Below are 23,161 nucleotides of genomic sequence, written 5' to 3'. Positions count from 1 at the left end.
AACTCTCGGCTGGGAGCTCTAGTTCATGCCGTAATCCCAGCACTTTGGCAAGCAAAGGTGGGAGGATTACTTGAAGCCAGGAATTCAAGACCAGCCTTGGCAGCATAGTGAATTCACACCTCTACAGAAAGTTTTTAAAATTAGCTGGGTGTGGCAGCACACTTCCTGGGGCAGATGTGCCATTGCTGGAAACTTCTCTATGGAGAGTACCAAGTACTTCTACCTGTAGCATTTTCCCTGGCTGGAATCCTGCAATTATCACAGTAGCCCGAGATCCAAGAAGGCAGAGCAGGAGCATCCTGTCCCCTCCCCAGCAGGTGCAAGGGAGGCTGGGGGGTGAGGCACAAGCCCGTGGGAGGGTGAGGAGCAGGAGGGATGCATGGTGAGCCTCTGTTGACTGCTTGCTGCCTCAGCTGGAAGGTCAGGACCAAATGTCTATTACAGGTTAAATTACAGAAGTATTTCAGATTTTGGATTTTTTTCAGATTTTGGAATTCGAAAATCTGAAATCCAAAATGCTCCAATGAGCATTTCCTTTGAATCTGGCCTTCGAACATCATGTCGGCACTCAAACAGTTTTGGATTTTGAAGCATTTCAGATTTTGGATTTTCGGATGAGGGATGCTGTATTATCTTCTGAATGAGGCCACTCATTCAGGAAAGCCCAGAGCTTGGGGACGTGGAGCTGCAGACCAAAGAGGTGATTTCTGTAGTGGCTTTCAGTGCGGAAGGGCCTACAAAGTGGTTTAAAGCAAGCCACAAAATAGGAAACCCAATATTTAGCTAATGGAACTCTGATAAAACCTGCTCAAGCTGTCTGTCTCTACTAATTCAGATGGAGCCAAGCCAAAGCATCATTATTATTTTAAAAAGGCACCAATCCCTCTGCAAAAGCACTGAATTATATCATGATACAATCATCAATTGTACCATGAATCACCATCAGCGGTGGTCTTTTAGGGATATGAAGAAGGGGTTTTCACAATACATCGCATGACACACCATCTTCCAAATCTCTAAACATTTCTCTCCACAGCCCAGTCCTCTCCATAGTTGTCCAAATCCCTCCCTCTTTTCTCTTGTTGTCTCCAAAACTCAAAACCATGCTCTGACTTTCTATATCCTGCCCTCCCCTTCTTGGACCATCTGGGAAGCCCCCTGCTTCCCCAGGGTGTCCCCTCCTCCCCTTCTGGGATCAGTCATCTTTCCTCAAATGGACCAGTTCGGCCTCTCTTAGTTTCTCCAACTCTGCATCTCAACCTTTCTCCCTTCACTACACAATAATGTCCAGGAGGCAAAGAGCCCACAAACCTGGGAACCTCCCTTTCCAGAAGGGAGGTTCTGGAATGACTACAAATATTTGGTTATGATTTTCTTCCCTGCCACGCCTGTTTTCATGGGCAGTGCTGAGCCCCGGTCCTGGCAGAGCTCAGAACCAGGCTCTCATGAGCTGGGGCAAGTGGGGCCTAGGGAACCTCTGGGTTGAGGACCTTGCACCCCACTCTGCAGCTGCCCTGCTGATTTGGCTCATGCAACCTCTCCTCCTGGGCTCAAGTGATCCTTCTACATCGGTCTCCCAAGTAGCTGGGATTTGGGCTACCACGTTTGGCTAATTTTTGTATCTTTTATACAGATGGGGTTTCACCTGTAGCCCAGGCTGGTCTCGAACTCCTGGGCTCTAGTGATCTACCCTCCTCAGCCTCCCAAAGTGCTGGGATTACAGGTGTGAGCCACTGCGCCCGGCCTTGTGCCAGCTTTTAAATATCAACAAGGACAAATTAGAGAACAGTGGAAGAGGGTGAGCAGCATGATGAGGTGATACAGAAATAATTTCACATGAAGAACTGGGCATGCCTGGCTTTTTTTTTTTTTTAAGCTATTCTGGGTTGGATGCTGAGGCTCACACCTGTAAGCCTGTAATCCCAGCACTTTGGGAGGCCGAGGTGGGTGGATCACCTGAAGTCAGGAGTTTGAGACCAGCCTGGCCAACATGGTGAAACCCTGTCTCTACTAAAAATACAAAAAATTAGCTGGAATTGGTGGCATGTGCCTGTAATTCCAGCTACTCGGGCAGCTGAGGCAGGAGAATCGCTTGAACCTGGGAGGCGGAGGTTGCAGTGAGCTGATATCGTGCCATTGCACTCCAGCCTGGGCAACAAGAGTGAAACTCTGCCTCAAAAAAAAAAAAAAAAAAAAGAAAGAAAGAAAAGAAAATATATCTATGCACCAGAGCTCAACACTAGGTTAGGAGCATTTCTGAGATTTGGAGCTATTCAACCATGGAAGTTCCTGGCACATACATCAGGTATTCACAATACCCTTTCTCAGGTGTTTGGTCACTGCTAGTGAGCCTGCCTGGATCAGTGTTTCCCAAATGGCAGTCATTTGCATCTTTGCATTTTTTTGGGGGGGGGGTTGTGGGGGTATATACCATACCAGATTTTTTAAAAATTGACATTAAAAATACATGTATAAAATGTGTAAAGTGCACTAATCTAAAGTGCACTGGATGTATTTTTTATTGATGTACATACTTTTGTTATCCATCACCCAGGTCAAAATACAGAATCAGCACCACAGAGGGTTCCCTCCTCCTCCTTCCCAGCCAATAATCTTCTCCTCCTACCTAACCAACTGTTCTTACTTCAATCACTGTCAACTAGTATTTTACATTCTTGAACTGCATATAAAGTGTCTCAAGTTTCACTTAACACTTTTCTTGAAATACACTTGTTTTTTGCCACTTTTTATTTGACCTAAGAAGTAACATTAATGAAACAATGATTTGACGTGATAGGCATTTCCCTCCTAATGAGCACTAAAACACTTAACTATTTGAAAAAAGAAGTTTCTCCGTGTACCAGCTAATATATTCTCCTCGGCCGCCGTTGGTACACGGACCACATTTTGTTTCTCAAAGCAATCCGATGATTTCTGAGGTCCTTTGCAGCTTGAACACGGAACGACTGTGGTGATCGAGTAGCCAAAAGTTCACGGAATGCACTGTCACAATTGTGATTCCGCCATAGCGCCGTGCATCCATCCAACACTTGTTTAATACCTATATTTAATACCTAATACCTTAGACTGTCCTAGGCTGTGGACACAGAAGACTAAACCCCACTTCCTGAGTTGAAGTGGGGGAAATAGAGGAGTAAATCATTTCACGATGTGTGGTTAAATGCTACAGCTCAGGTAACCACGAGCACACAGAGAAAGGGCAGTTTCTAGAAACAGGGCGGAGAGGAGACCGTGAGTGGGCATTTCCCAGAGCAGTCTCTGCCAGCCACCCTGCTGTGATCACTTTGCCACAGAGCAGCCCCGGCGGTCAACCTCAGCCTCCCTTAGCAACCTGAGCGCCCCGCCCAGGTGCCTTACTATTGGTCTCGTGGAGCGGGATGGGCAGCTCTGCCGTGCAATCCCAGCTCGCAGCCCTTGCTCCGCGTGTACTCACGGGAGGACTCGCAGACGTTACTGCCCTCTTGCGTGCCCCGGCCACCCCCGGGCGGCTTGTAGCCGGTGCGCGGGGTGGCTGGGGCTACGTGCAGAGCTGTCGCGGAGCCGGAACAGCAGCGGTGAAGCCCCTCGGCTCGGCCGAGACCGCCGTGCCCATTGCTCGCCTCGGTTGCCGCCGCTTTAGCCGCAGCCGCTGCTGCCGCCGCCGGGGGAGAGGCAGCCTATTGTCTTTCTCCGCGGCGAAGGTGAGGAGCTGTCTCGGCTCGGCCCGCGGGGGAGCCCCGGGAGCCGCACGGTGAGAGCGCAACTTAGTTGGCGGAGTTGGGGGAAGTTTTGTGATTTGAGGAGGGGTCGGGGTGCGGAGCGCGGCCCGTCCCCTGCGGCCGCTCGGTGGGGCGGGCCCCAGAGGAGGGTCGGGGGCTGCGCGGGGCTTCAGGGGCGGGCGGCACGGATGGGTAGCCGGGCGGCGCGGGGACCTCAGCTTTGCGGACCCCTCCTCCCTGCGCATCACCCTTCTCCCGCATTGTCTGCTTGGGGCTCGGCGCGCCTCCCACTCCGCAGCCCAACTTGGGGGCCGTCGCCGCTTTCCGGATGGGGGGCGCGCCCGGCGGCGGATGGCCCCGAACCCTTGCCCCGGGTCCCCGGGTTGGCGCCGCTGGGGCGGACTCACTCCTCCCCTGGGGCGGGCGGCCGCGGTGTGGAGTCCGCGCCGCGAACAAGTGCTGCGGGCGCGAGGGAGCGGTTCCCCGGGGCCGACGCGGACGGTAAACCTGTCCGGCGGCGCCCGCCTGCTGGGGCCTCTCCGCTGTTTCTCGCGGGCGCGGCCCGGCTGAAACTGCGACCGTCGGAGGCGAGCGGCCCTCTGGGACCCGTGCAGCCGGTCCACCTTGCAGCTATACTTTGAGACTAAACATTTTTTTTTTTTTTTTTTGCAAAGGCAAACCGGTATGTGAAGTTGAAAAAAGCAAAAACCCTCAAATTTTCCTTCTTTCTTCTTTTTTTTTTTTTTTAAATCAAGAAAGGGGGTAGATAGGTTTGTTTTGTTTTGGAAATAGTTTTTATAGCAGAGTGATACCGTCACATTTAATGATCCTACTGTGAATTCAAGAATTCACGATGAAAGTTGGATTGAGCGGTATTTTGGTGTTCATTCTTTGCTGATACTCATTAATGAAGTTAGTTGGAGAATTTATTGCTTCAGTACAGTAAAAACCAGTGTGCCTTTTTTTTTGTTACTACTCCCCCCTCCCCGCATTGTTTTATTTTTCGAAGAAGCACTTTATTCAGTTTTTCTAAGCCACGGGATTGCCCAGATGAGGACCAACGGTGCAGTTCTTGAAAGGTCATTATTGGCAAGTTTGTGAGGGAGCTAAGATGAGTTGAGATAAACCAGTGTTACTGTTCTTGTATTCTGTCGTGGACTCTTGGGGATTTGCAGGCTGCATTAAGTACAAGTCTGGTCCAGTTTTGGGTGCACGTATTCCACTGAATTTGGTTCGTCTGGCTTATTATATGAACATGATTCTGTTTCACTTCCCCAGATGGAACTAGCTTAAATGTCTATCATTTATAGTGACAAATGATCAAAATGGCTAGAGTGTCATTTATTAACTTCAGTTGTAGTCCTTTACCTTACCTTCTGCTAAATGAAAAAGAAAAATTTGACAAATACTGTGTGCGTCAGTTTGCTCTGAGTGATTTCTCGTGCTAAGTGAGTCCTTTGGAGAAGCGTTCCTGGGCTTTTCTGGTTTGGTGGGCCTTGTGTTATAAAACCAATTTTCTTCACCTGATGAAGCTAAAGACAAATTTTCTTCAGGCACAGGCATTGCCCTTTTAAACTACAGAGCCACTTGTAGGATTCACAATACTCACTCAATGGCTTCCCTTCCTGGCAGTGTGGTTTTGTGTGTGTGTGTGATTGTGGGGAAGGAGGCTGACAGAGGTTGGAAGGGATTGTCAGGGAGGGACATCATGTAAGCAAGTACTAACAACATAACGTGACGAGGGCACCAGTTGCTTTCCTTCTGTGGGCGGTGATGGCATGTTATACTGTAGGTACTATTGTTGTAGGATTTCTCACAGTTCGTTTGCCTTGACTAAATGGTAACTGCACACATACTATACTATAAATGGACTCCTCCTCTAGTCCTTTAACTCCTTGAGGGCTGTGATAGACCTTATTTAACTTTGTACCCTCTTTGCCAGTGGTTTTAACATAGTGCAGGCACGGTATGTGTTTGAATTGGGTAAATTACTTTTACTGCCTAGTGGTAGCTGGTGTACACAGGAGAGGGCCACCAACTCTGGGGACTTGTCCAAAATGACAATTCACTTGCAGATCTCTGATGAAATTTACTTTAAAAGGACTTCTAACCTTTTTTTTAATCTGTCGGTTATTTTTTGAAAAGAAGTGGGGCTTAACTAGTGCTCTAAGGATTTTAACAAGAGATTCCGATTTAGAAATCTGTTCCCCCTTTTGGTGAAATTCTTATTTTTTTTAGAGTCAGAATCTTCACTGTTGCCCAGTTGTCTTCCTGGGACCCAAGCCGTCCTCCCACCTCAGCCTCCCACAGTACTGGAATTACAGGCGTGAGCCACCCCACCCAGCTGGTGAAATTATTAAAATTGTAGTGAAAACTCTGCCTCCATTGTGAAATTGGAAAAAAATTAGAAATTTTAGAAAAAAGTACGCCCTTTGGAGCTAGGTAGAGTTCAGATCCCCACATTTCCATTGAGTAGTTGCATAGCCTCTCAGAGCTTCAGCTTCCTACTCCTTAAGGGTTAGTAACATGCTTTGCAGTGTTGTTAGGAATCAGTGAAACTGTGTGAGATACTTAACTGCAGTATCTAACATGGAGTAGGTAGCTATTTCCTGGTAGCTGTAATGATAATAATTTTGATACGTTTTTACATGACTTAAGCATTCTGAAAAGTCTGATGCTTCTGAGTATGGAGGCTTAGCTATTTCTTTCATAAAGAAGGGGCCCTGAGACTTGTGAGTCTTATCCAAATGCGTTTCTTCAAAGGTGTCAGATGAACTGAAGGATAATGGAAACAATAGCAAATTTATCTTCTCAGTCACCTGTGAGTCTTCCTTTGAGAGTGGGACTTGCAGAGTACTTGGTAGGGTAGAGCTCTTTGTGACTATGCTATTTAGGAAATGGTGAGAGATGGATTGTTTTCAGTACATCAGTCATAAGAGGATATGAGTGAGTTCCAACTTTCCTTATTTTACCTTAGTCTTGACAAATAACAAGTATGGATTATGTCTGTATTTCTCAGACTTGTTTAAGGTAGAACTGGACTGGGTGTTAACAGTGTTAGTTCAGCAGAGACATGAGCAAATCACTCACTTCCCCTTCAAGATAACACTTTAAAGGTGCCACCATTTGCAGAAGAAAGCAGTGATTTAAAGCAGCTATACTAGCACAGTTTAGAATACTTACACTAGCTGATGGAGTAGATACATTCTAGAAATATTTACCTGTAGTGGGAGTTGAACAGTGAGAACACACGGACACAGGGAGTGGGGAACATCACACACTGGGGCCTGTTGGGGGTTGGGGGGCTAGGGGAGGGATAGCATTAGGAGAAATACCTAGTGTAGATGACGAGTTGATGGGTGCAGCAAACCACCATGGCACGTGTGTACCTATGCAACAAACCTGCACGTTCTGCACATATACCCCAGAACTTAAAGTATAATAATAAGAAAGAAAAATAAATATTTACCTGTTAAGGACATTTCTGTGTATTTTATTCCATCTTTCCAATAGTTTTCTTATGAAGAGATTATAGTTAACCTTTGAACTTAACAGATTGAGAGGGTAAACCTTTAAAAAATATATTTGGTCACACTTACAGACTGAGGGTAAAAACATTCCTGACAAAGCTAGGCGAAGACACTTGGACTTTTTTTTTTTTTTGAGACGGAGTCTCGCTCTGTCACCCAGGCTGGAGTGCAGTAGCACGATCTTGGCTCACTGCAACCTCTGCTTCCCCGGTTGAAGCGAATCTTCTGCCTCTCCCGAGTAGCTGGGACTACAGGCACACGCCACCATGCCTGACTAATTTTTGTATTTTTAGTAGAGACGGGGTTTCACCATATTGACCAGGCTGGTCTTGAACTCCTGACCTCGTGATCCACCCACCTCAGCCTCCTAAAGTGCTGGGATTACAGGCATGAGCCACTGCACCCGGCTGAAACTTGGACTTTTGATGTTTCCTTCTTTTAAAGTTAACATCTAGCACTTGAATAGACTTGGTTATTACTGATGGGGACAGGCATCCATTTGGAAGTAGCTTCCCTCTCTCTCTCTTTCCCAGGTTAGGCTGTCTTATTGCTGTAAATGGGGAGAGAAGAGAAAGCCGTGGGTGGAAGAAAGTGTTTCATGGCCTGGTGCGGTGGCTCATGCCTGTAATCCCAGCACTTTGGGAGGCCGAGGCGGGTGGATCACTTGAGTTCAGGAGTTCAAGACCAGCCTGGCCAACATGGTGAAACCCCGTTTCTACTAAAAACAGAAAAATTAGCTGGGCATGGTGGCGGGCACCTGTAATCCCAGCTACTTGGGAGGCTGAGGCAGGAGAATCACTTGAACCCAGGAGATGGAGGTTGCAGTGAGCCGAGATTGCACCACTTCACTCCAGCCTGGTCGACAGAGCGAGACCTTGTCTCAAAAAAAAAAAAAAAAGTGTCCCACTCAGTTGCCCAGGCTGAAACGCAGTGGCAGGATCACTGCTCACTGCAGCCTTGAACCAAGCGATTATCCCACCTCAGCCTCCCAAGTAGCTGGGATCACATGCATGCACCGCCATGCCTGGCTAATTTTTTTATTTTTGTAGAGACAGGGTCTCTCTATGTTGCCCAGCCTGGTCTCAAACTCCCGGGATGAAGCAATCCTCCCACCATGGTCTCCCAAAGTGTAGGGCTTACAGGCGTGAGAGCCTGCTGGGGTTTTTGATTGACATTGCATTGAAACTGGAAATCAGTTAGGAGGCAACTGACATTTTAATAATGAGCCATGAACATGGTATATCTATTTATTTAGACCTTCTTAGATTTTTCGTCAGTGTTTTGTAGTTTTTAGCAGTTGGATCTTGCTTGTATTTTGTAATCTTACACATTTATTTCATGTTTGTGGTACTGTTGTGAATGATACTTCTCAATTTCCAGTTGGTGATTGCTAGTATATAGGAAGGTGATTTTATGTTATATGCTGACCTTGGATTCTACAACCTTGCTAAACTCATTTTTAGTACTAGAAGCTTTTTTGTAGATTTTTGGAATTTTGTGCATAGACAGTAATGTCACTGGCAAATAAGGGCAGTTTAATTTCTTTGTTTTCACTTTGTATGCTTTTATTTCCTTTTTTTTTTTTGAGACGGAGTTTCTCTCTTGTTGCCCAGTAAATTAGCCCATGTAAATATTTCTGTTTGTATCTCTTGAAAGTAAAGACTCTTTTAACCATGGATGAGTGTCTTGATCAAATCAACATGGCTTGTTCATGTCGATACCATTTGCTCAGAGGGGAAAGATTAAGGGAAAAATGGGGTTGGATTTGAAATGCCAGGACCTGTCTACTGGGTTTGTGATTTGTTATTCTCTAAAGTTGTAGCTCTTAAAACAAAGAAAGGAGTGAGTTTGGCCTATTCATTAACTTTTACTCTTTAGACAGTTCAAATGTTTATTGAGTTCTTCTACAGGGCGAGCCCTGCCTTCTTCATGCTTACCAAGAAGCATTTTTACGCGGTTTCTCTAATGTTTGGGTGAACGGTACCTCACTAAGTTGTTTTTCACGCACGTGCGTGCTCGTTCCTGAAGAGTCCTGTCCAGGTGCTCTGCCCGCTTTTCCTTTCAGGCTTCTGTATCAGCTGCCGTTTCCCTATAGAACGTGCCCTGACCTCCACCCCTTAACCCTAACCAATTTGCCTTTACATGTCTGACCATCCATCAAGGCTCTTTTGGGTCATATTCAGTCCATGTTGATATTTCCCCTTCCTCCCTTCTTTAGTCCTTACTATTTTTGCTTTGGTCATGTTTTCTTACACTGTATTCTGTAAGCCTGTTTAATTTTTTTATGGTGGCAGGGGAAAATATTTTATAATTATGCTTTGTGCTTTTTATCTTCCACTCAATAAATGCTTGGTAAATATTTGTTTTATTGAATGTATGAGCCTATTCTAGCTATATTGTGCTTGAACAAAAATCTTAACTGCCTTGTAAGTTAACTGCTAAGAATTTGTCAAAAGTGCAGAGATAACATCAAGAGCTTGTCATGGATAGTACAAAAAGGTCTCTAAGGGCTTGATGGAAGTCTGTAAATTGACTTCCTATGAAAGAGAGTGTAAGAAGTGAAAAAAAGCAAAACAGAGTAGATGTTTTACTCTGTTTGCCAAGGGATTTGTGCTATTTTTTTCCTGTTTTATAAATTTGTCCTAATCTTAAATAATGAAGGGAAAAGAGCACTCTTTTTCAACCAAGGAATCCTTTTTATACTTCTTTTCTGTGAAGCCATGTTATGAAAGATTGTTATACAAACTTAAGTATAGTTTTTCCATCTTCAGTAACAGACCTGATTGCCATCTAGTTACTGGTTCTGATCACACAAGAATGCAAAGCAGCTTGTTCTAATAACTTGTGCAGGCCTATTGGGAACTAGTATATGGCTTTGAGTCCTTTTGAAGTATTTAACATAATTTGGCAATTCCATTACGCCTTTTATGGACTTCTTGGCATCTATGAACTCTTGGTAGGGAATCACTGTTTTAGAATGAAAAATGTCTCCCAGAAGTAAATTAGCCGGTAAACAAATGAAACTTCATTTTTTATATGACTTGTAGAGCATAAATTATTACTCTTTCTGCATAAGTGGCTGCTTTCTAGGCTGCTTTTAGCGAGATTGTTAGAAACAAATGATTGGTGCTGTGAGGAAGAAGCAGCACTCAGGCAAAAAAGTTTTCTCAGCAAGACAATTTGCTTCTGCAAGTATGCTGCTTGCATTAGTCATGATTGCAAGAGCACACCAAACGGGGTGGAGCAGGGGTTCTTATCCCTAATGCACTCCCTACCTCTGTGTCATTCCAACATGGGCTGGGGTAGGACTGCACAATCTTAGCTGACTCAGCTGGATATTGTGAATATTTTCTCTAATAAGAAAGGGAGGGGGAATGTGAGTTACAGATTGGGGCTGGTAGGAAGAGTTGTTTACAAGGCAGGTTACTAAGCAGGTAACTAAGCTGGTAAGTAGGGTCGAGAAGGTACAGGGAAATTGTTCTTAGGAACAGAGAACAAGGAAGTTGAACAAGTTAAACCTTTGAAGAGGAACTTACTGTACCTAACAATTCCCCCCTCTTAATTTTTGTAATTCTTCCTCTTCAAACTTTTTTAGCATGTCTTTGCTTTGCTGTTCTGCTTGGTTTTCTAGAAGGAAAAGCTTATCTGAATAGGGTGGAGGAGAGCTAAGAGAGGTTTTGGTAAGTTCTGTGTCTATGAGTCTTTGCAGTAGTCCACAAATGTATGGTATGATACAGCATCCAACAAGAATAAGCACACCTATAACGATTGCAAGAGAAGTAAATATTGAGGACATTAAGCCTTTCCATTTTCCAGACCATTTCTCCATTAAACTTGTAAAGGGATCATTTATTCCAGAATTGCTTGCTAACTCATTGGATAAGGAGGTTAGGTCCTGCAAAGCTTTTGTTACTGTTCCGTCAGGGGCTGTGTTATTAGGAATAAAAGTACATCATTGGACTCCAATCATGACACAGACACCACCTTTTTCTGCTAGCATCGTATCTAGGGCTATCCTGTTTTCCCAGACTATTTAGTTAATGGGACCTAATTGGGAGGCTGTTCCCTTAATGGCATGTCTTGTGTAGTTAACAAACCTTTGTTGGTTGTAATAAATGTAGTTTATCCGATCTACATTTTTATTTACAGTTGACCACCAAAACAGCACAGATTCAAATCCTGAAGCTGTTTGATTTCGGGCCTTAAATTTATCTGGTACCCCTCGTGGAACTCCAGTAGCATCTTTATAAACGTGGGAGTCAAAGGACCCATGAAGGTCACTTCTTCTCTTCTGATTTTCTCTTCTATTATGTTAATGGAATGCTAGGGTGAAAGGGATGGCCAGTTGGACTAGAGCACAAGTACCACTCCAGTTACTTGGCAGAGTGTCCAGTAAGGGTCCACCACAATACCACCATACGTATGCTCGAGGATGAACAAGGGCAGACTGACTGGTAAGCTCTTGGGAGAGTTTAAGTTCACCGCATCCCTTTAGGTCTTCATGAAATGCCAAGTTTTCCCCTTGTTGTGAGAGACCCGAGGTAAAAATTGGTGTCAATAGATGGAGGCTGGATGGCCCTCAGGGACTGACCTGCAGGGTGTTGGACTTTAGGGAATAGCAGAGAGAGAGCTTGGCAAGATTCATTACCCCAGGCTGTGGGGTCTTGGAGAAGAGCTACCATACAGCTCATGCCCAGTTGGCTGGAAGACCATCCGAGTGGAAAGGGGACAACCTGGGCCTCTGGCCTACTGTGCGCACAAGTGTAACAGTTGCTTTTGTTTAGAGTGCGGACAGAATATTTAATCCATTCTAACCAAGCATTTGCATCTTGGTACCCTGTCTCAGTTGCTATGGTTTGTTTCAAATTTTTAACTTCTACAATGGCTTACCTTGATTTTATCCTTGGTTGAAGGAAGAACAGCGGTTTCGTTGAGAGAGAGTGTAGAAGGAGGTGGAGGAGGTGAGAAAGTAATGAAATGCATTTCAAAGGATTCTATAAGATGTGTCCCTGCTATTTTGGCTCCTATGCCGTATAAGCGACTTAAAGTAGGTTTAGGGTTGGCAGAAGTGGGGATAAGAATAGAAATTTGCACTGGATTACATTGGTTATACTGGCAGTCAGGGGGTGGGGAATGTTTCCTTTAACAAAGCAAACATGGTTTTAGAGACTTACAACTGCCTGTTGACAAAGCCCTGATGTTCAGTTGTCCACATAATATCATTCCAGCTGTGGCAGGCCTGTTTCCCTACATTTCTTAAGGAACAAGAGTCGTAATGGGGGAGGCTTTTGTCTGAAAGGGACGGAGATACTTCTCTGAGGCTGAGAGTTGCTTTTGACTTTGGAGATCTCCACAGGATATAACAAGGCAAGCATCAAAGGTAATAGTTTGGGGTGAGCTCGACCTAGTTACATTAATAACGAGAGGACTAGCAATAGAAGGGGAAAAGAAATATAGCATAAGAGGATCAAACCCGTTTTAGCTTTAACTTGGTTGGAATTGGCCCTGAAATAGCTGTCCATGATTCTGGAGTGGGTGGTGCTCTTTTGACTCAGGTATGGTGAGTCCATTCTTTTTCAGTGGTGTGGACGGCTGTCTCAGTCATTAGAAACACTAGATAATGTCCCTCCCAGGTGGGCTTGAGCTTCCTTTCTTTCTGACCTTTGATGAGAATGTGGTCACTGTCCGGGCTGGTGGTGGTGAACTGGAAATTCAAGGGGTGGTGTATGTGCCAAGAGGCCTTTAGTCCTAAGGAAAGAGAAAGTGGAGGATAGACCAAGTATATAGTTCTTGAGAAACAGATCTTTTGTTTCGAACGAGGAATGTCAGCAGTGGAGTGTAGATAAGGCAACTCATACAGCATTTCATAAGGAGGTGAGCCGACATCTTTCCTAGGGGCAGTTTGGAATCTTCACAAGACCATGGGGAGGCATTTAGTCCATGGCAACCGAGTCTCTAGGACTAATTTGGTTAGGTGGTTTTTCAGAGTCTGATTCATTCTTTCTACTCTTCCTGATGAAGGTGGGTGCCAGGGGTTATGGTAGTCCCATGTTATATCTAGTACTTGGGCTAGTTTCTTAAGAACATGTGCAGTGAAATGAGTCCTGTTGTCTGAATCAGCATTTTCTATTAATCCAAACCTGGGTATAATATTTTCAACTAATGCCTTGAGTACATTACTAGCAGTTGCACTTGAAAAGGGAATAGCTTCTACCCAATGAGTAAGGTGATCTATCACTAATAAATATTTTAAGTGACCAATTGGGGGCATTTCGGCATAATCAATTTGGACAATTTGGAACAGCCTTAATCCTGGATTTCTCCCTCCAACAGGTGGTTTTCTGAGGATCTGCTTATTAGTCTTCTTACATACTAGGCAACTATCTGTAACTTGTCTTGCCAAAATGTAAATTCCTATACATCTGTAGACCCCGAGGACTGCATCACACTTAGCTTGAGGTCCCTAATGAGTCCCTTGATGCAGATGAAAGAGGATTTCCCTCATGAGGGGTTTGGATAACATTTCTCTTTGGTCTGGTGACACCCATTTCCCTTCTGAATTTTCTTTGGCTCCTATTTTTATTAATTTTTCCTTTTCAGCGGGAGAAAAGATGGGGACTGCAGTCGAGGGAGGAAGGCAAGGGGCTAAGTGAAAAACAGGCATTTTCAGAGGAAACGGCAGTGTGTTTGGCTATTTGATCTGCTAGGTTATTCCTTCCGCTTTGAAAAGAAAGACCTTTCTGATGTCCTGGAACATGGACAATAGCTATTCTGGCAGCTGCAGGTTATCTAATACTTGGGTGATTAATTCTTTGTGGCCCAGGTCTTGGCCTTTGCTATTAATAAGATCTCGTTCAGTCCAAATTTTTCCAAAGGTGTGAGCTGCCCCAAAGGCATACTTGGAATCAGTATAAATAGTCCGTTCTTGGTTTTGCAAGTGCTTTAAGGCTTGATTTAATGCAAACAATTCATTCACATGTTTGGGCAGACCAATTATTTGGCAGGCTTCCTGACTCTACTTCTTCAAGTGCCTCCCCATCTACTACTGAGTACCTATTACGCCTTTTTCCTTCAATTACTTGGGAAGAGCCATCTATAAAGAAGCCCTGCCCCGTTTTGTAAGGGGTCTCTCTTAAATCAGGCCTAACTTTTGTATGATCATTAAATCTAAACACTCATGCTCAGGTCTCTTTAGATTTGAATCTCCAGTCAGGAAACCTCTGGGTTAAGTGAATTATCAGTGGTTAGTGTTAAATCATCTCTTTCTAACAGGATAGCTTCATACTTTAAAATTCTCAAGTCAGTAAGCCACCTTCCTGCCTTTTAATTTAAGATGGCTCTAACCTGATGGGGCATGTTTACAACTAACTTTCCCCCAAAGGTTAGTTTTCTGCTTTCTTTAGTTAACAAGGCGGTAGCTGCAATGGATTGAAACATTCAGGCCATCCACAGGTTACTGGATCTAAAACTTTTGATAGGAGATCCATGGGTTGCTGGTGACCTCCGTGTTCTTGGGTAAGGACCCCTAAAGCTACCCCCTTATTTATGTTAACAGAAAGGTGAAATGGCTTTTCTAGGGAAGGCAAAGCTAAAACAGAGGCAGTTATAAGCAGATGTTTTAGCTCCTCAACCTGGTGGAGTTCTTCAGAAGTCCAGAGGAGAGGGTCAGGCTTTTCTTGGGTGATTTTTAGGTAGAGAGGCTTTATGACAAGGGCATATGAGTCAATCCATAAGCGGCAATATCCGGCTATCCCTAGGAATTTTCTGAGTTCTTGTTTAGTCTTAGGCAAAGGTATGGATACAATCCCTTCAACCCTCTCAGGCCCTATCCTTCGTTTGCCGTTACTTATTAAGTGTCCTAGGTATTTAACTTCAGGCTCTATGAATTGAAGCTTTCTCTTTGAAACCCATAGCCCCTCTCCTTACAAATGGTTAAGGATATGGATGGAGAAAGCAGATACCTTTTCTATAGCCTAACCGGATATTAATAAGTCATCTACGTACTGGAGCAGACATATACATTTTGGGGTATAAACTTGTTCTAACACTTGTTCTAGAATTTGACCAAAGAGATTAGGGGAATCTGTGAAGCCCGGGGGTAGAGCTGTCTATCGATACTGTTGCTGTCATCCAGAATGGGGATCTTCCCATTCGAAAGCAAAAATGTCTCAGCTGTCCTCATCCAAGGAGCATGCTCAAAAGGCATCTTTTAAACCTATTACTGTAAACCATTGATGTTCATATGGAATTTTACTGAGAATGGTTTAAGGATTAGGGACAACAGGATGGGTAGTCTAGACTGTCTGGTTGATGGCCCAGAGGTCTTATGCTAGTCGACATGACCTATCTGGTTTCTTCACAGGCAGTATTGGGGTGTTATAAGGGGACATACAGGGTTCAAGGAGCCCATCCTTGATGAGGCTTTCAATTACAGGTTTCAGGCCTATTCTGCCTTCTAAAGGAATAGGATATTGCTTTCTTCTTACTATTTCTCCAGGGGTTTTTAACTTTATATGTATAGGGGGAATTTGGAGTTTTCCCCAATTTCCTTCCCTTGCCCAAACATCAGGATGAATGTATGTTTCTTCTGCAGTGGTGAGCAGGTTTAATGAAGTGTAGAATCCTTCTGAGCCAATATGTAAACCTATACCTAATTTTAACATTAAGTTTCTTCCTAATAGATTAGTTCCTGCCTCTGAAATTAACAAAAATTCAACATTAGCTGAGCAGTTTTTACATCTAATTTCTGTTTCTTTTAAAATTTTTAGTTTGATTCCCTCTCCTTTTACCCCTGAGACTACAAGCTCCTCTGAGGACCAGGTTATATTGTGGGGGAAGGTAACAAACAGAGGAGCAGGCTGCTCCTGAGTCTACTAAAAAGGTCATAAGCTCAGATTTGGGTTCCACTTCTAAATTTATCAAGGGCTCTTGGTGGGATTCAAGGTAAAAGAGACAGAGCCCCTAACCCCCCTATTCCTCCTCAAAGGTCGTAAGTGGGACGACTTCTCTTTCTGATTTTAATTTGGGACAATACCTCTTGAAGTGGCCTACTTTCTCACAATTGAAGCATTGATTCTGTCTCTTCTATTTTTGGGTTTCTCGGCTTTGCCTCCTTATGTTCTTTATATGGCTTAGGAAGTGGGGGCCTAGGATCTTTATAGGTTTTGGCTCTCGGGAGGCTTTGTTTGGGAGTGTGTGGGTCTCTGGGTAACAGAGAGTAATACTGGTGTGTTTTATCCTTTGGGGCCCCCTGTTGGAAGGTGGATAACATAATTTTCATTTTTTCTTTTTGCTTCTCCTCATCCCTCCTTACACACACTTTCTGAGCTTCTCTAAGAAGCTCGTTCGTGGGATGGTCCTTCCAATTTCCTATCTTTTGTAATTTCCTTGTGATATCTGGCTGTTAGTAACAAAATGAAGCTTTAACATTCACTGCCTAAGAGGATCTTCTAAATCTAGGCCAGCATATTTTCTCATTTGTTCTTTCAACCTGTCTAAAAGTTCGATAGGCCCTTCATCTTTCCTTTGTTGTATGTCGAATGCTCGAGTAAGATTTTGGGTTCGGAGTACTGACTCCCGAATCCCTTTTATTATCATTTCCCTAAGTTCTTGCGTATCCTCTTCAGTGGGCTGCGTTATTATTGTCCCAGCAGGGGTCTTGGTTGGGGAATTTTTGATCCGCTGCATGAATGTTTTGGCCAGGAGGGTGTTCATGTTCCCAGGCTACCATAGCAGCTCTACAGATGATGCTTCTTTCTTCCCCTGAGAAAAGGATGCCTAGGATGGACATTAACTCAGCCCAAGTATATATAACTGTGGTCCTAGAAATTGGTTAATTCGATCTGCTATTCCACTGGAGTTGTCTAATAGTGTGGCTTGAACTCTGTTTTTAGGTTTTGGACCTCCGAGCTGGTTAAAGGAGCATTTACAAAGTGAATACCTCCTCCTCGTAGGGACACCTCTCTTCAGGGGAAGAGAGGTGGAGCTAATTCTCCCGAGGTAGAGGGGAAGGGGAAGTTCTGAATATCCCTTTTACATTGCTCTATCTCACATTGAAGTCCTTTCAGGGAAGAGTACTTAGGGTGATAGTGAGCAGGCTGTTGGGACAATTCCCAAGAGGCAGGGTTATAAAGAGGGGGAACAATGTGGGTAGGAGAAGGGTCTGGGACAACTGCCTCTGCTTGAGGGGGAGGGAGGTTAGGGGTATTGGACGGGGGAAGGTGGTGGAGGAAGTTCCATGTGTTGGTGAGCTGTCTAGGAACAGGGACCTTATCTTTCTCAGAGGAGTTAATTTCTGACTTGCTTTTCAGGATTGATTCCTGAGTCCAAATGAAACAACAATATTTTATCATTTGCTGCTTTTTCTTGTATTTAGTCCTTTCACTCTCTTTCCATATTTTAGCATAAGCCCTAGGGGACTATCAGGAGGAATGTTATTGTTGCTAGCTTTATCCTTTTTCTCCCCTGCATTACTTGAGGTATTTCCCATCTTGAAAAGGGATTGGGGTGAGGCTCAATTTCCCCTACTAGAAATTTCTTCCCAGTTACGAGAGGTTTGTATAAGGCTCAACCTCTCCTACTGGAGATTTCTCACCTTTCCTTTCCTTTCCTTTCCTTTCCTTTCCTAGAGGCTCAACCCCCCTGCTGGAGGTTTCTTGCACTTTTCTCCTTTCGCTTCATCCTTCTCTGGCTGCTTCCCTCACGGGAACGTTGGTTTCCTCTTAGCAATGGCTGTTTCAGTAGAAACCCCTGACCCAGACTCCTTTACAGAAGGGCTACCTTAAGCTGTATAAGGTGACCACAGAACTGCAGATCTGGACTGAACACTTGCTTTGCACTCAATTGTGAGTCTCAACACACACTTTCAATCTCCAAGATATCCCAACCACCAAGAAAATACTTTGTCGCTCTTGTGATGTTTCTTACATTGGTCTGTGCACATAGTTACCTGGTCACCATGGTATGTGAGGATCCTTTTCTCTTAAGTTGTTGGTCTGTTCCTTTCCAGACTGCTGAGAGTCCGGGTTTATTCATCACACTGGGTGGGTCCTGATCCCTCACCATGAGGCCACCTCAATGAGGCAGTGGGATGCTTCTCCTCACTATTGGTGACTGGAGACCCTTTTCTCAGAGGAGAATGGGAATTCCGGACGAGCCCCCAGATTGTTAGAAACAAATGATCAGGCTGGGCGCAGTGGCTCGCCCCTGTAATCCCAGCACTTTGGGAGGCCGAGGTGGGCGGATCATGAAGTCAGGAGATCGAGACCATCCTGGCTAACATGGTGAAATGCCGTCTCTACTAAAAAAAAAAAAATACAAAAAAATTAGCTGGGCGCAGTGGTGGGTGCCTGTAGTCCCGGCTACTCAGGAGGCTGAGGCAGGAGAATGGCGTGAACCTGGGAGGTGGAGCTTGCAGTGAGCTGAGATCAAGCCACTGTGCTCCACCCTGGGCAACAGAGCGAAACTCTGTCTCAAAAAAAAAAAAAAAAAAAAGAAAGAAAAAAGAAACAAATGATCAGTGCTGCAAGGAAGAACCAGCACTCAGGAAAAAAAGTTTTCTCAGCAAGACAACTTACTTCTGCAAAAGAGTGCTGTTTGCATTAGTCACGAATGCAAGAGCACACCGAGCGGGATAGAGCAGGAGTTTATATCCCTAACGCAGTCCCTACCTCTCTGTCATTCCCACATGGGCTGGAGTCGGACTACACAATCTAAGCAGACTTGATTTGCTATCGCGAATATTCTCCCTAATAAGGAAGGGAGAGGGAATGTGAGTTACAGGTTGGGACTGATGGGAAGAGTTGTTTACAAGGCAGGTAACTGAGCAGATAACTAAGCAGGTAAATAGGGGTGAGAAGGTACAGGGAAATTGTTCTTAGGAACAAAGAACAAGGAAGTTGAACAGGTTAAACCTTTGAAGAGGAACTTACTGTACCTAATAAGTTTTTTTGATTGGCTAATTAAATGTCTATTCATTATTGCCAAAAAGTGCCTACCCCAACAACAAGATACCAAATTTTAGAAAATGTTGGAGCTCTCTCTGAATCTAGGAGGAAGTGAGTAGTTTAGCTTTTATTTAGTAGTTAGGACCTTAAGTAAATCACTTTTTTTACTGTGTTTCTGTATAACATAGATAATATTTTTTGCCCTGCAAGAGAGCATATAGAGGAAAGCTCTTTGGCAGCGATACTGTGCCCTATGAATAAAAAAGTGATGGTGTCATTTGTGGCTGAATAACAGTTTATTTTGAGAATGCTTTATAACAGCTTTTCATGGGAAATAAAGCAATGCTGTTAACTTCATCTTGCATTTTTCTCATTTTTACTATGATTAAAAGGTAGTCAGCTTGTACAAAGGAAAGAAACAAGCCTTGACTCAGGAGCCTAGGACTTTTTCTTTGGTTTGCCCTCCTGGAACAGATTACCTTTCCAAATTGAATTTGTGGAGGAGCATTGGGAAATATCAGAAATGTCATATTAAGCACCTCAGTGGTACTTTTAATAGAGGAGTTATTCAGAAATTATACTAGGCAGATAGAGAGGGTAAGGAGGCCTCAGTAAGGCTTTCCCTTTTAATAGAAACAACTCCAGAAACATTTCTTTTTCTTTTCTTTTTATCTTTTTTTTGGAGACGGAATCTCGCTCTGTCACCCAGGCTGGAGTGCAGTGGTGTGATCTCAGCTCACTGCAGCCTCTGCCTCCCAGGTTCAAGTGAATCTCCTGCCTCAGCCTCCTGAGTAGCTGGGACTACAGGCTGCCAAGCTTTGATATGCAAATGCCAGCGCTTAGAAACTGTGTCCATTCAACATGGAGATTCCCACCCTCTTCTTCTAGTCACCACCTCAAGGTGACACCTCCAGATGACCCCATGTGTGCAGGACAACATGGTGACCTACATTTGCATATTAAAAGGCTAGGGTGGGAGGGCCACGTTTTTCTCGGGCTACATGAATGACCTGCCTGGTCAAACCAATGCCCTGGGCCCTGTGCAAATCAGACACCACCTCCTCCAGCCTCCCAATATAACCGAGTACTGTTCTGCCACACACGGGGCTTTTTCTCTGTTCAGACCCCCTTTTTCTGTACCGCAGGGAGCCTTTCTTCTTTCTTGTCTATTAAACTTTCTGCTCCTTAAAACCACTCCTGTGTGTCCATGTCGTTTAACTGGCGTGAGACAAAGGACCCCGATGTTTCTCCCGTTTTCAGAGCCATATCACTTTGAGTCCAGAGGAATTATTTTCATTTATCTGACCAATTTATAATATAGGGTCAAATTCCTAGTGGTTATCCTCCCTCATCCCCATTTTTATACCCTTCCTTGAAAGGAACAGGTATATGAAGAGGAGACAGGTTTCCCTTTTGTGAATAGTATATCCCTTAGTATCTTGAATTTTTTTTGGTGGGGGTGGGGGGAGTTAAACTTACTTAGACCTGGTAAAGGGCAGTATTTGATAAATGTCAGCTAGTTTAGGGTTAGGGAATTGAGTTGAATGGAGATAGTCACTGCCAAATGTAAAGCATGACTGGAGAGCCACAGTGATGAAGCCAGGGTCCCTTTCTCCAGATCCTTTGTAACAGTGTTATGTGATCTCTTCTAGAAGATTGTTCTGAAAGATAATGCCAACTCGGAACCTAGGAAACCATCCAGTGGGTTTCTGCAGCTTAGGTGGTTCAAATCCTCATCAGCACGTTTGTTTTCTCTGCCTCAGTTTGCTTACAGTGATGTTCTCAGTAGCTGTAATTGCTGTCTTTGAATACTTAAGCATTTTTTTTTAGCTCACAGGGGTATGTGTGCATTTTTCTTTTACCAAGTGTTAGAACTTTGACTCTGCTTTTGTGGGCTCTGGTTTAGCAACTTGGTTGTTTAGTTGTAAAATGATTAGTAGGGAAAACCGTGTGTGTGTGTGTGTGTGTGTGTGTGTATTTTAAGTTTCTTTTGTTCTCAGAGCACTTAGAATTTTATATGGAAATTCTATCAGTTTACTTGATTCTCCACCCCACATTTCTTAAACAGCAAAGTATGAAGGTAATGTGTCCCATAACCAGCCTTCAGAAGAATTACAGCTGCTGTGTCTCTGAACTTTCAAGAAGTTTGTGCATCAATTTTCAAAAAATTATGAAATCCTTGAAGATAGCTGTGTTCTACATTTGGAAAGATACAAAAACTGAACCTTCTAGCAGGCAGTTTTGCTTGCTGGTGCTTGAGATAGAGCCACACATTGGTCTCAGTGGATTTATGGAGAAAAATAGGTACAGAAAGTTATTTCTAAATAAGACCAAAAATCCTTTTCTTAAGCAGTGACAGGTAAAGAGGTTGTCTTGGCTAATATTGAATTGTGTTGCCCTTGATTGAGACAGTTTTATGGTGGGGATGGTAGTGGTGATAAACTTGTTTGAAATTTGTCCACCTATAGTAACCTTTGTGGTAGCTGTCACAGACAGCTTCATCCTCACAGGCCCTAAAATTACTATAAAACTAATAGATTGGAGGAGAAACAAAGGACCTGAATAATTAGATGCTTAGATAATTGTTCTGTGTTTTCATAACAAGTGAAAAAGAGCAGTGTTAGAAGTACTTAAACTTTCCATGTAAGGAGCACTGCCTGAATTTATATTGTGATTTTAGAGCATCATTCACTGTTTAAAAACAGGCATATTGTGGGTCATATTTTAAAGACAAACAGAAAACTTATCTTTTCAAGATGGATCTAAAGCTTAACCTTATCAAAATTACAAAATGTGAAGGATATGATTGAAAAATATTAATGCATAGGTTTAAATATTGGTCATCATTTTAGATGTCTTTCAAAATAGGTTGTCTCTTAAATATTAAACTGAACAAACATTGAACTTGTTGTAGAGTTTGTGCTCAAGGTTAAGTTTCCTGGGGTGATGGATATTTGATAATATGGATAACAAAAAGTTCTTAAGAAATTTAGAAAATTTTTAGGCAAAACTAGAAAATAATACTGATAATTCTACCACTCAGAATGTACCACTATCAGAATTTTGTATCTTTCAGTCATCTGCTCATCTCTTTTCTCCTTTGCTTGTATGTGTTCCCTCTCCCTTAAAAAATCAGATTTTTTTTTGTAATCTGCATTTTCACTCAATATTGTAGATCTGTGTCATAAGTTACTCCTCTACAGTGCCTTCAGTTATTGTGTGCTTTGTGTTGGATGACTGTACCATCTAGTCTTTCGTGTTTCCTGGTACTGACTACATAGGGGTGAGTGTGTGTGTGTGTGTGTGTGTGTGTGTGTGTGTGTGTGTATATTTTTTTTCTACCTTAACTAATGCTTTGGACATCATCAACAGGTAGAGCTAAATCCTTGAAACCTTCCAAGTGGTGGCTTTCAGTTATTGCTGAATTGGTTTTTAGAGATGGAACAAATTATATTGTATGGAAACTTTTTTTTTTTTTTTGAGACAAAGTCTCACCTTGTCACCCAGGCTGGAGGGCAATGGCATGATCTTGGCTCACTAAAACCTCCACCTCCCAGGTTCAAGTGATTCTCTTGCCTCAGCCTCCCGAGTAGTTGGGATTACAGGGGCCTGCCACCATGCCCGGCTAATGTTTGTGTTTTTACTAGAGATGGGGTTTCATCATGTTGGCCAGGCTTGTCTCGAACTCCTGACCTCAGGTGATCCACTCACCTTGGTCTCCCAAAGTACTGGGATTACAGGCATGAGCCACCATACCCAGCCTTTTTTTCTTCTAGGTACCAGCTTTTATTTATCAGATTGGTATAAATGTTAGAAAGCGTGCAATGAAATGGGCATTTTCACAGTCGTGGCAGAAAGTATAATTATCTTTGACTTTCTAGAAAGCAGTCTGGCATTCTAGAAACTTGCCTAACCTCTTCCCATTTAGACAAGATGAGTTCTGACAGGGCCAGCCTTGTCCCTGTGA

The 23,161-nt window shown here is 43.6% G+C and overlaps 1 long non-coding RNA gene and 1 pseudogene across 2 annotated transcripts in view, besides 1 other annotated feature; one reads left to right on the top strand and one right to left on the bottom strand.

Moving 5' to 3' along the window:
• Nucleotides 3,155-3,654: an enhancer, noted in NCBI's record as "H3K27ac hESC enhancer chr15:84898701-84899200 (GRCh37/hg19 assembly coordinates)". NCBI's record gives its function as "activates a minimal SCP1, AML or CMV promoter by ChIP-STARR-seq in primed H9 embryonic stem cells {active_cell/tissue: H9 hESC(primed)}" and the evidence as "EXISTENCE:reporter gene assay evidence [ECO:0000049][PMID:30033119]".
• The window catches only part of GOLGA2P7 (GOLGA2 pseudogene 7), a 31,321-nt pseudogene continuing 11,594 nt past the window's right edge, over nucleotides 3,435-23,161 (top strand). Inside the window, exon 1 of the transcript NR_027001.1 lies at nucleotides 3,435-3,751. The product of NR_027001.1 is annotated as a GOLGA2 pseudogene 7 (transcript). The remainder of the gene's footprint in view (nucleotides 3,752-23,161) is intronic.
• On the bottom strand, nucleotides 12,712-18,739 carry LOC105376724 (uncharacterized). The gene is made up of 2 exons (XR_007064745.1): nucleotides 18,198-18,739; nucleotides 12,712-12,997 (listed from the first exon to the last, which is right to left on the bottom strand). It is a non-coding gene; the product is annotated as an uncharacterized LOC105376724 (long non-coding RNA).

The sequence above is a fragment of the Homo sapiens genome, chromosome 15, assembly GCF_000001405.40.
Source record: "Homo sapiens chromosome 15, GRCh38.p14 Primary Assembly".
Taxonomy (NCBI): Eukaryota; Metazoa; Chordata; class Mammalia; order Primates; family Hominidae; genus Homo; species Homo sapiens.
Note: the sequence above shows the minus strand (reverse complement) of the source record. Positions and strands in the feature narration are given on the sequence as shown.